Source organism: Homo sapiens, chromosome 2, assembly GCF_000001405.40.
Source record: "Homo sapiens chromosome 2, GRCh38.p14 Primary Assembly".
Classification (NCBI taxonomy): domain Eukaryota; kingdom Metazoa; phylum Chordata; class Mammalia; order Primates; family Hominidae; genus Homo; species Homo sapiens.
Genome location: NC_000002.12, coordinates 74,632,952 through 74,646,221, shown reverse-complemented (window position 1 = coordinate 74,646,221; position 13,270 = coordinate 74,632,952). Strand labels below are relative to the sequence as shown.

Here is a 13,270-nt window from a genome sequence, read left to right as displayed (position 1 = left end):
TCACTAGGAGACAAGGAGGCGACACAACTACACACTTCTGTCTGTGCTTTAACTGACTAATGGATCTGCAGTGACGGGTCACCAACAGACTTTGAAAGAAGTGATATAATTAATTACTGATCATGATGCACTGATCACTATATTATATCAGTACGCTATATCAGTATACTATACTATTGATACTGATAACTAGTAATTCGTGAACTAAAGAGCTAGATACTACTTTATGTAATTACAGTTAATATTCCATGGTAACTGAAATTTGAACTGTGTTGTTGGAAGACTAGTGTTAATTAACTAAACTGTAGTAACTGAAATCTATATACTTGAACCATGCAAAATGAGGACTGCCTCTACTTTATTTTTTTATTTTTATTTTTTTCAAGGGTGAGCTGGTGATGTTAAACAGCAACTTTTATTAAAGCAGCAGTGTACAGCAGCAGCAGAGGTACTGCAACTGTGGAGCAGGGCTACCCCATAGGCAGTGTGCCCAGAATAGCAGCTCAGAGGTAGTTCAGCAGTCATAGTTATACCCAGTTTTAATTACATGCAAATTAAGGGGGAGTTGATGCAGAAATTTCTAGGAAAAGCATGGTAACTTCCAGGTCATAGAGTCGTTGCTATAGAAAGGGATGGTAACTTCTGAGTGTTGCCATGGCAATGGTAAACTGACAGGGCACACTGGTGGGCATGTCTTATGGAAAGCTGCTTCCACCCTCGCCCTGTTTAAGCTAGTCCTCAATTTGGTCTGGTGTCCAAGCCCTTCCTGCAGAGTTGAGTCCCGCCTCCTACCTCACTATCAAAACTAAACTCATACGTGCCTTATGGCCCAGCAATACTGTGTCCAGAATTGGTGGGTTCTTGGTCTTGCTGACTTCAAGAATGAAGCCGCGGACCCTGGCGGTGTTACAGTTCTTAAAGATGGTGTGTCCGGAGTTTGTTCCTTCTGATGTTCGGATGTGTCTGGAGTTTCTTCCTTCTGGTGGATTCATGGTCTCGCTGGCTTCAGGAGTGAAGCTGCAGACCTTTGCAGTGAGTGTTACAGCTCTTAAGGCGGCGTGTGTGGAGTTTTTCATTCCTCCCGGTGGGTTTGTGGTCTCCCTGGCCTCAGGAGCGAAGCTGCAGACCTTCACGGTGAGTATTACAGCTCATAAAGGCAGTGCGGACCCAAAAAGTGAGCAGCGGCAAGATTTATTGCAAAGAGCGAAAGAACAAAGCTTCCACAGTGTGGAAGGGGACCTGAGCAGGTTGTCCTGCCTCTACTTTAAAATGGCGTTTTCAGATGTGAGAGATGGAGATGGATAATTAAATTTAATTATACATTAAATAAGGCCTCTGACTACCTGTTTGTGTGAATTTCTCTGTGTCAGCTTCAAGTTCAGCATTCCATGTAGAAATTGGCCCCATGTACTTAAAGTACAGTTTAAAAATATGTTATGTGCTTTCTTGGTAAATACATTAGTAATTGATTTGGGTTTCTGGTTCAAGATGACTTTCAACAGATTAGCATATTAATTCATTTATTTTTCTAGCTGTATCCAGCACGTAATTGGAACTCAATTTTTAAAAATGTTGAATGAACAAATGCTGACTTCCACTATCCAAAAAGGGAAGTTTGAAGAGAATAACTTCACTGATTCATTTGGGGAAATACATCTATCTATGTATTTTTTTTTTTTTTTTTGAGACGGGGTCTCGCGCTGTCACCCAGGCTGGAGTGCAATGGCGCGATCTTGGCTCACTGCAACCTCCGCCTCCTGGGTTCCAGCGATTCTCCTGCCTCAGTCTCCTGAGTAGCTGGGATTACAAGCGCGTGCTACCACGCCCGGCTAATTTTTGTATTTTTAGTAGAGATGGGGTTTTACCATGTTGGTCAGGCTGGTCTCAAACTCCTGACCTTGAGATCCACCCGCCTCAGCCTCTCAAAGTGCTCGGATTACAGGCGTGAGCCACTGCGCCCGGCCTATCTATGTATTCTTAGATCATTTTTAAAGATTCTAAATTCCAAAGTGTTTCTGAAAATTATCATAATTATCTTTGTATTGTCACAGGGGAAATCAAATAAGCTTTAATTTTCCCTACATTCTTTAGCTAAAAACAATTATATAGAATGATTTTAGTTCTCAGAGGTGGGGACATATTTTTTAGCTATCTTTTTTATCATATTTCTTTTGTTTTCTTTTGATTGTCCTAATGTTCTTCTTGAAATATTTTTATTATTAAATATAACATATATACAGAAAATGTCATAAAACATGAATGTGTAGTTTAATAGTAGAAAGTGAATACCCAATATCCACAATAAAGATCAAGAAATAGAACATTAGGCTGGAAGTGGTGGCTCATCCCTGTAATCCCAGTACTTTGGGAGGCCAAGGTGGGAGGATTGCTTGAGCCCAGGAGTTTGAGACCAGCCTGGGCAACATGGCAAAACCCTGTCTCTACCAAAAAAACACACAAATTAGAGAGGCATTGTGGTGCATGCCTGTAGTGCCAGGTACTTAGGAGGCTGAGGTGGGAGGATCACTTGAGCCTGGGAGGTGGAGGTTGCAGTGAGCTGAGATTGGGCCACTGCTGCACTCCAGCCTGGGCGATGGAGCGAGACCCTGTCTCAAAAAAAAAAAAAAAAAAGAACATTACCAACACCCCAGGACCCCCTTCTTTTGTCTCTTCTCATCATAATGCCTTCATTCTTTCCTAGGGAAAATCACTACCCTCATTTTTGTGATAATCAATTCTTTGCTTTTCTTTATAATTTTATCACTGTGTATGCACCTCTAAACAATATAACTACTTTTGCTTATTTTTAAAATGTAGATGAAATCATGCTACATGTGTATGTATTCTTTGTGTCTTGCTGCTTTTACTCAATATTATGTTTCTTAGAATCATCCATGTTGCCACATGGAACTGCAGTTCATTCATCTTCATTGCTGTATGTGGAAATATACTATGATTTATCCATTTTAATGTAGATTGACATTTGTGTTTTTTTCAGTTTTGGGTAATTGTGAACAAGATTGTTATTAATAGTCTTTTGGCTGCTATGATCTGACTTTTTTTTCATGTATCCTGTTATATATGATTATTTAAAGATTATATGATTAAGAACAAAAAAAATCCAAAAAGTTCTATAGATAAATTATTATAATTAGTAAGAGAGTGCAGCAAGGTTGTTAAAGTCAATATACAAAAATTAATTATAGCTGGGCACAGTGGTTCATGCCTATAATCCCAGCATTTTGGGTGGCAGAGCCGGTTGGATTGGTTGAGCTCAGAAGTTCAAGACCAACCTGGGCAACATAGCAAGACCCCATCTCTATAAAAGATTGTTTTAATTAACTATATTTCTATACATAAGCAACAAACTAAAAATGAAATTTAAAAAGATGAGAAAGGGAAACTTTGTCATCGATAGTTCTTTGAAATGTAAATTAATATTTAAAAATCAACAGATCCCTAAGACTAAAATTTGACAAAAGACAAGGAGATCTTTTGGGAAAAATTACAAAGCTGTAGATTATTTTAGATTTTCTATATACACAATCATTGGCACACAATGACAGTTTTCTTTCTTCCATTGCAATGCCTTTTATTTATTTGTCTTACCTCATTACTACCTTCACTATAATGCTGAATAGAAGTGATGATAGCATGCTCCTTGTCTTACATGGAAAGCTTTCAACATATCACCATGAAGAATGATGTTTGCTCTCTCTTTTTGTAAATATATTTTGTCAGATTATTCCTATCATCTATTCTTACTCAGTCTTTATCATGCACAAATGCTGGGTTTTAAACAGAGGCTTTTTTGCGTCTATTGGGATGATCATATCATTTTTCTCATTTACTTTTTTAATGTGACGAATTACGTGATTGATATTCTAATGTTATATCAACCTTATGTTCTTGGGATAAACTCAACTTGGTCATGCTGTTTTTTTTTGTATATTATTAGTTTCAATTTCTCTATATTTTATTTAGAATTTTTACAAGTTTATGGGTGAGATTATCCTATAATTTTTTTCTTATTACACCTTTATCTGGTTTCACTTTCAAAGGTCGTGCTAACCTCGTAAAATTAATTGAGGAGGCCAGGTGCCGTGGCTCACGCCTGTAATCCCAGCACTTTGGGAGGCCGAGGCGGGCAGAAGTTCGAGACCAGCATGACCAACATGGAGAAACCCTGTCTCTACTAAAAATACAAAACTAGCCAGGCATGGTGGCACATGCCTGTAATCCCAGCTACTCAGGAGGCTGAGGCAGGAGAATCGCTTGAACCCGGGAGGCGGAGGTTGCAGCGAGCCAAGATCATGCCATTGCACTCCAGCCTGGGCAACAAGAGTGAAACTCCATCTAAAAAAAAAAAAAAAATTAGTTGAGGAGTGTATCCTGTTATATATGTTCTTCTGTTCTTAAAATAATTTGTTTAAGATTGAAATTCTTGGCTGGGCGCGGTGGCTCACACCTGTAATCCCAGCACTTCAGGAGGCCGAGGCAGGTGGATCACTTGAGCCCAGGAGTTTGAGACCATCTTGGGCAACATGGCAAGACCCCATCTCTACAAAAAAAAAAAAAAAGATTGAAATTCTTGGTCTTTGCATGTTTGATGGAGCTCATCAGTGAAATCATCTGACCCTCTTACTTGTGGGAAGATATTTGATTACCAATTACATTTCCTTAATGATTATAGACTATTTAGGTTTCTAAAATTTCTTTAGTATTGGTTAGATACATTTTTCTAGGAATTTGTCCACTTTATCAAACTTATTAGCATAAAGCTATTCATTATGTCCTCCTATAACCCTTTTCACGTTTGAGCATTTGTGATGATGTCCCTTTCTCATTCCTTATATTGGTTCTTTGTTCTCAATTGTTCTCACTTCCTAATCTGAGTCCTGGGGATAAGTATAAGTAGCCAGTAGAGAAAGAAGGCAGGAGTATTGGAGGCAGAGAAGCAGCATGAGCAAATGCACTAAAGTGAATATATTTGGTATTGTTTCCGTGAAAATCTTGAGGCGAAGAACAATTTCTAATGAGGCTAACAATTAAGTAATGACAGGTCTTAAAGACAGTTTAAATTTTACCTTATAAGAGATTCAGACAACCAAAGAATTTTAACCAAGGAGAAATGTAGTCATATTTTCATTTTTAAGAATTATTCGTTAGGTACTAAACACACATATGCTAGGCATTGATGAATAATATCAACAAGACAGGTTCTCTACCCTTGGGAAGCTTACAATATAGTGGGAGAGGCAGTCATAGAAACAAATTGTAATAGAGTGCAATAAATGCCAATAAAGAAACAAAGTTTATGAGGGCAGATAGCTTACTTTGAGACAGAAGCTTGAGTTTTTTGGTGTAACTTTTGATTAGTTCCACTCAGCATCTCTAAGCATTCTCAGGCTTACATGATAGGCAAACATCTAGATCTCTTGGGAGCTGTTAAAATAGGATGGCCTGGGCCAGGTACGGTGGCTCACGCCTGTAATTCCAGCACTTTGGGAGGCCAAGGCGGGCGGATCGTGAGGTCAAGAGATCAAGACCATCCTGGCCAACATGGTGAAACCCCATCTCTAAAAATACAAAAATTAGCTGGGCGTGGTGGTGTGCACCTGTAGTCCTAGCTACTCGGGAAGCTGAAGCAGGAGAATCGCTTGAACCTGGGAGACAGAGGTTGCAGTGAGCCAAGATCGCACCACTGCGCTCCAGCCTGGTGACATACCGAGACTCTGTCTCAAAAAAAAAAAAAAAATAGGATGGCCTGGACAAGCTTTAGTACCCAATCTGACTCCTTTCTGGATTTGTTTCCCTCGACTTGTATTTTATATTTCAACAGAGCACACATAATTCAGTTTGAAAACCAGTGGTTTCTCTTTCCTTCCCTATAGGTGTAAAGAATATCCAGCTGGTGGCTACAGTTCCCCCTCTGGTTTTGCTGCCATGCATCCTGGGCGAACTACTGGTAAAGGGCCCTCTACTCACACTCAGATTGACCAGCAACCTCCACGGCTTCTCATTGTGCACATTGCTCTACCGTCCTGGGCTGACATCTGCACCAACCTCTGTGAGGCTCTGCAGAACTTCTTCTCTCTAGCCTGCAGCTTGATGGGCCCCAGCCGCATGTCCCTGTTCAGTTTATACATGGTACAAGATCAGCATGAGTGCATCCTCCCTTTTGTGGTAAGTATATCTATATTTATTCATTTTACCCTGAAAGCAAATACAGTGGTAAGGTTTCTGGAATAGAGATCACAGTTATTAATACTTATAACAATAACCGCACTACTTCTCCACACACAGTAGCCCCCGAGTAACACCATGAGAGCCAGAGGGCATCCTGCATATATAGGGGTGTGTACTGTTGAAGAGAAAATCCAAAATTATTAATCTGGGAGTATAAATAGGCTACAAGCTCCACTCCAGAGAGAGGGAGAGAAACCTTGGCATTGACAGATGTTTGAAATGTAAACAACTGACTCCTTTTATGCCCTTTGAAATGTAAACACACAAGGAGGGAAGCCTCTAAATCTCTTCTGAGGTCTCTGACTATTCAATCATCTTTTAACTTCCAAGACTTGCCCTTTAACCCAGGTACCAGTTTTCTTTGCTCAGAAAGCCCTAACTATGCAAAAACATGAAAATATTTTTTCTACATTCCACATAGACTCAGGTGAAACTGCCCCCTAGGGTTATGGAAGGCAATGGCTGGGCCAGGGGCAGTGTCTTTACAAAGCTCCTTCATACATAAACAATTATCTATGCTCCTCCTCAAAATTTCAATCTTCCCTTTCTCCCTTGTATAAAATTCAGAATCATAGTGAAGAGAAAGACTTCCAGAGGTTCTATGCATCTCCTTCCTTGAGGTAGCCTTGCTGCTAATATACGTTATCAAATGGATATAAGTCTTATTTAAGATTTCCAAAAGAGGAAATTTCATAAATCCATTGCTGAATTATGAATGTAATATATGACTGAAATCTATTTTTTTATTAATGCCTTAGTTTCCCTCATTGGAAGTGGAAAGATAACATCTCTGTTGATACTATAAAGAATGAAAATAATATATATTACTTCATGCTTCTTGAGTTAGAACATACCCTGGTTGCTTTGACAGAACCTTAGGCTTATAACAACTCATGGTTTATTTCTTGACAAAAGTCACACAGGGAAAGTTTTGAGTATAAATGCTCCAGTGCTAAGTATGGGGATTTTGTCTGTGCATTGTTACTTAGGCTGGGTTGGGGATGGGAAAAGGATAAAATTATTTAAGAAATTCAACTGATCCTTTCTACAGTTTGAGCAGAATTTGGTACCTCTATTCATTGTTTATTGCTGTGTAACAAATTATCCCAAAATGTAGTGGTCTAAATTAATAAACATCATCTCATAGTTACTATGAGTTAGGAATTCATAAGTGGCTTAGGTAGATCAGGCTTGGGGTCCCTCATGAGATTGTAGCCAAGATGTCAGTCATCTGAAAGCTTGATTGAGGCTGGAGGATCCAGTTGCAAGATGGCGTATTCACTTAGCTGTTGGCAGAAATTCTTGTTTCCTGACCACTTGGATCTCTCCAAAGGGCTGCTTGAATGTCCTTAATTTGTGGCAGCGGGCTTCTCCCAGAACGACTGATCCAAAAGAGAGAGAGAGCAATGAAGAAGCCAAAATACCTTTTATGTCTTAGTCTCAAAAGTAACATGTTGTCACTTCCTCCACATTCTGTTCATTGGAAGCAAGTCACTGTTCCACCCTAGATAGAATAACAGCAAGCTGATTTACCCTCTTGCCTCAAACAATAAAAAAAAACTGGATAAAACCTATGAAAAACACTTTTCAAAACACTGGACATCACGCAGCAAAGAACAAAGCCCCCTGGGTGATAGGAAGTCAATGAGGTGAGACTTAGAATTGTTCCAGCTTGCAGATCACCTGAGGTCAGTAGTTCAAGACCAGCCTGGCCAACATGGTAAAACCCCACCTCTACAAAAATACAAAAATTATCCAGGCATGATGGCGGCTGCCTGTAATCCCAGCTACTCGGGAGGCTGAGGCGGGAGAATCGCTTGAACCCTGGAGGCGGAGGTTGTAGTGAGCCGAGGTCGCGCCACTGCACTCCAGCCTGGGTGACAGAGCAAGACTCCGTCTCAAAAAAAAAAAAAAGAATTGTCCCAGCTTACTGCCTTGAGAAAGTTTCTAAGCTACAATGCAGAGAGGGAGAACCTAGGGGCGGGTGCCAGTGGTTTCCTTGAGTCAAGGAGATGGATCTGGGACTTCAGAGAGACCAAGGTATTAATAGCTAGAGGAGAAGGAGCTACATACAGAACTCTATAAAGACCTGAAGAGGGTGCCCCTTGAGTATTCAGCAGAGTACTGATCAGTACATGCACATGAGGAAACTACCCAAGGCCAAAGAAGGAGCCACCCTGAAGGACTAGAGACAGTGGTACCTGATACTCACAACTGGAATAGTACCTGTTCATATCAGCCAAGCTGGAAATCCTCATAATTCATGATACATTGGATAGAGGACTCACAAAGATCTTGCCTCAGTAGTAGGGCATAAAATAGCCCAAGACTTAGTACTGCTCAAGACTACCTAACATAAACACAAGATCCTAAGTGTCAAACTGTTTCCAGGTAACTTAACTATCCCAGAACAAAGCTCAAGAATATTTATAGAAATACAAAACTATGTAGCACCCATCAAGGTAAAATTCATACTGTCTGACATTCAATCAAAACTTAAATAGGTGTGCAAAGAAGCAGGAAATTATGACTCATTATGAAGAAATTATTAATTAAAACTGACCCAGAAGTGACATAAATGTTAGAATTAGCAGATGAGGACATTAAGACAATTGTTATAATCGGGTTCCATGTGTTCAAAAAGCTAAGTGGAGATATAGAAGACATTTTAAAAGTTCCAAATCAAACTTTTAGAGAGGAAAACTACAATTTCTGGCATGGAAAATACACTAGATGGAATTATTGGCAGATTAGACATTACAAAAGAAAAGATTAGTGAGCATGAAGACATAGGAATAGAAACTATCCAACATGAAACACAGAAAGAAAATAATCATTTTTTTTAAATGGATAGAACATAATTGAGCTCTGGGGCAACTTCACGCCATCTGATATATGTGTAATTAAAGTCTCCAAAGGAGAGGAACAGGGGATAGAAAAAATACTTTTAAAAAATGGCCAAAATTTTTCTAATTTTGATAAATACTCCAAACCCACAAATTTAAGAAATCAATGAATGCCATGCACAAGAAACATGAAGAAAACTACATTAAGGCACATCATGTAAAAACTATTGTTAAAGATGAAATCTTGAGGCTGGGCATGGTGACTCACACCTATAATCTTAGCACTTTGAGAGTCTGAGGCAGGAGGATCACTTGAGCCCAGGAGTTTGAGATATATGTAGAGGAAATACCTAAGACAATTATATTATAAACAAAGCAGGGGAAAGTGATATAAAGGGAGGTAAGTTTTCTACACTTCATTTGAACTGGTAAAATGTTGACACCAGTTGACTCTGATAAGTTTCTATGTACAATGTGATAATTAGAGCCACCACTAAAAAACCTATACAAAGAAATACACTCAGAAACACCATGGATAAGTCAAAATAGGGTATTTTTAAAATATTCAAATAGCCCATTGGAAGGTATGTAAAAGAAAACAAAGAAACTAAAAACAGAGGGAACAAGCAGAAAACAACAAATAAATTGGCAGGCTAACATATCAATAGTTATATTAAATGTGAGTGACCTAAAAACATCAATTAAAAGAAAGGGCTTGGCAGAGTTGATTTTTTAAATGACCCAACTATATCCTGTCTAAAAGAAACTAACTTCAAACACATTAAATGTAGGCTGAAAGTAAAAGAATGGAAAGGGATATATCATGCAAACATTAACCAAAACAAAGCAGGAGTGGATTTATTAATATATCAGATGAAACAGATTTCGGATCAAAGAATACCAGGTACAGAGAGGGACATTAGACAATGATGAAAAGGTCAATCCACCAAGAAGATACAGAAATCCTAAATGTGTATGCATCAAACAACAGAAGCTATAAAATATGTGGAGCAAAAATTGATTGATCTAAAAGAAGAAATAGATAAATCCACAATTATAGTTGGATTCAGTGTCCCTCTCTCAACAATTATAGAACATCAATAAGGATATAGAAAAACATCAGCCAACAGGATCTAATTGACATTTATATAATACTCCACCTAACAACAAGCAGAATGCACATTCTTTTCAAGCACCCGTGGAACATTTGCCAAACTAGACCATACCATGGGCCATGAAGGAAAGAAACTTAAACAAACTTTAAAAATTGAAATCATGCATAGTATGTTCTCTGACACAATGAAATCAAAGTAAAAATCTATAACAGAAACATAACAGAAAAATTCCCCCAAACACTTGAAAACTAAACAACACACTTCTAAATAATCCATTGGTCAAAAAGCAAAATGTCAAGGGAAATTTTAAAAGACAATACATTGAACTGAAGGTAAATGAAAATACAAATATCAAAATTTGTGGGATGCAGGTAAAGCAGTGCTGAGAAGGAAATTTATGGCACTAAAATGCTTACATTAGAAAAGAGAAAAGTCAAATCAGTAATATAAACTCCCACCTCAAGAAACTAGAAAAGGAAAAGCAAAATGAACTCAAAACAAGCAAAAACAAGGATATAATGAAGAGCAAAAATAAGTGAAATTGGAAACAGAAAATAGAGAAGATCAATGAAAAGAAGTTGATTCTTTGAAAAGATCAATAAAATTAACAAACCTCTGGCAAGAATGACAAGGAAAATAGAAAAAGAAAATACAGATTACCAATATCAGGAATGAAACAGGGGAGTGTCATTATAGGCCCTTATTATTCCAAAGGATAATAAGAGAATACTACAGATACCTTTACATACGTAAATCTAACAACTTAGATGAAATGGACCAATTCCTTGAAAAGCACAAACTATCACAATTGCCCAATATGAAACAGATAGTTTGAATGGCCCTGTAACCATTAAAGGAACTGAATTCATAATTTTTAAATTTTGAAAAAGAAATCTTCAGACCCAGGTGGTTTTATTGAAGAATTCTACTAAACATTTAAAGAAAAATAACATCAATTCTACATAATCTCTTTCAGAAAATATAAAAGAAGGAAATACTTCCAAACTCATTTTATGAGGCTATTTTTTATCCCCAAAATAGACTAAGGTGGTACAAAAAAAGAAAACTGAAGACCGATATCCCTCATGAACATAGATGACATAAAACTTAACAAAATATTAAAAAATAGAATTCAGCAATTAAAAAGAATTATACAACATAACCAAGTAGAACTTATTTCAGGGATGCAAAATTGGTTCAATATTTGAAAATCAATCAAAGTAGTATACCATATTAAAAGGCTAAAGAAGAAAACCACATGATTATGTCAATTGAAGTAGAATAAGCATTTGACAAAGTTCAACGTCCACTCATGATAAAACCTACAGCTAATGCCATATTTAATGGTGAAAGACTGAATGCTTTCCCCCTAAGATTGAGACAAGACAAAGATGTCTGCTCTTAGTACTCCTCAGCATAGTACTAGAAGTCCTAGGCAGCACAATAAGGTAAGAAAAGGAAATAAAAGGCATGCAGCTTGGACACGAAGAAATGAAATTGTCCCGGTTTGTGGATGATGTGATGGGCTAATTAGAAAATCCCAAGAATTTTGTACTACCCTTTGAGGAGAAGTATGTCAAAGAATTTGTATACATATTTAAAACCACCATGGTTCCCTTCTGGTGATATACTAACACCTTAAGTCAAGTGGTAAGAGCCTGGATTTCTGAGAGGGAGCTCAATCCTCAGGTACTTCCTACTGGTAGTTTTGCCCTTATGAAATTGCCTCTATAGTAACCACCAACCTTCTCATTACAAATATACAAGGTATTTGTTGGTCATTTTCAGGCACTCAATTCAGACAAATCGCTCTATTTGCTAATATGTTAATAACATTAAGCTGATATTATGGAGTGCTTACTGCATACATGGCATCATGCTAAGTGTTTTTTCCATGACTTTCACTTTTATCCTAATATGTTTGCTTATTGATGTGTGTATTCAATGTAGTTTTTAAAATCTATTGTTATCTTTTAGCTTATAACTTTAAAAAGTATTTTAGATTTTATTTTCCTTTTTAATTGAGTATTTATGTAAGGAGCTGTTAAGTCAGTCAAATTGCTAGGAAGAAACAGATAGATGGCACACTCAAACCAAATAATTTTCAAAGAAATATAGAAGGGAATATTTACATAGGTGTGGGCAGAGTTTAGGTGGTGCAATAGCCATACCACCTCTAGGACTGAAGAGGAGGGAACTGTCTGAAGAGGGCTGCCTGACGGGATCTTTGGCCTTTGTTAAAGAAAAAGTTATTCATGACATTGTTAAATTATGGTAAGAAAGACTTTACTGAGGACCAACACAATAGGTATGTTGTTATGGTCCTAAATAAAGGGACCATAGCACTGGTCCCTTGGAAATCCATCAATAGGTATAAGGACCATGACAATGGGATGTTGCAATGGGAAAGAGAGATTGGGCTCAATTCTGAATATGGCACAAGCAAGTGGGAATATATAGCCAAGGAGCCTGTGGGGATCAGTGGATAGATAATTACTAAGAGGAAACATCAGGGGTAAGGGGAATTCTGGCTAAACTGACTTACAGGATTCTTGCTGAAAACAGGCCAGGGTGATCAGACATCACCTGGGGGATGGTGCAGGATGAGGAACCCAATCAGATACTGAGAATGATCAGACATTAAGAGTAGGGGATTCTCGCCAAACTGACTTAGCAGGGTTCTTTGCTAAAATGAAATTTTACAAGGAAGTGCACAGATGGGCCTAAGAAAAGGTTTAGAAGCCTGACTAAAATTTGATCAAGCAAAGAATCATGTTGCCTTCAGAAGAAGGATGCAGCCATCCCATGGCAATCTGGTGAGGAGGAAATCAGGAGATGAAATACCCTGACCTCACTTTCCTCCCACATGCAGATCTCCTGCTGGTGCCTCCCATTGACCAAAGCCAGCTGGAAGTAAGAGTGTGAATGACCTCATTGAATCAGTCCCTATGGATCACCTTCCTAGGGCACAAAATAGGGTAGAGAAAGTAGAGAGTGATCTGGAAGGGCAAATAGAAGATATCCAGTATAAGAGGTTTCTTAGGAAATGAGCCCATGTCC

At 38.2% G+C, this 13,270-nt stretch overlaps 1 protein-coding gene across 13 annotated transcripts in view; it reads left to right on the top strand.

Annotated features, from left to right (window-relative positions):
• M1AP (meiosis 1 associated protein) overlaps positions 1–13,270 on the top strand; it is a 90,448-nt gene that overhangs the window by 2,109 nt on the left and 75,069 nt on the right. For 12 of the 13 annotated variants that reach the window (XM_047443432.1, XM_047443431.1, XM_047443430.1 and 9 more), the window contains exon 2: positions 5,895–6,186. In XM_047443432.1, the coding sequence (XP_047299388.1) occupies positions 5,947–6,186 (240 nt within the window). In that variant the 5' untranslated portion in view covers positions 5,895–5,946. Of the gene's footprint in view, positions 1–1,113; positions 1,135–5,894; positions 6,187–13,270 lie in introns of those variants that run through there. The other variant, XM_011532550.3, reaches the window with a different exon arrangement.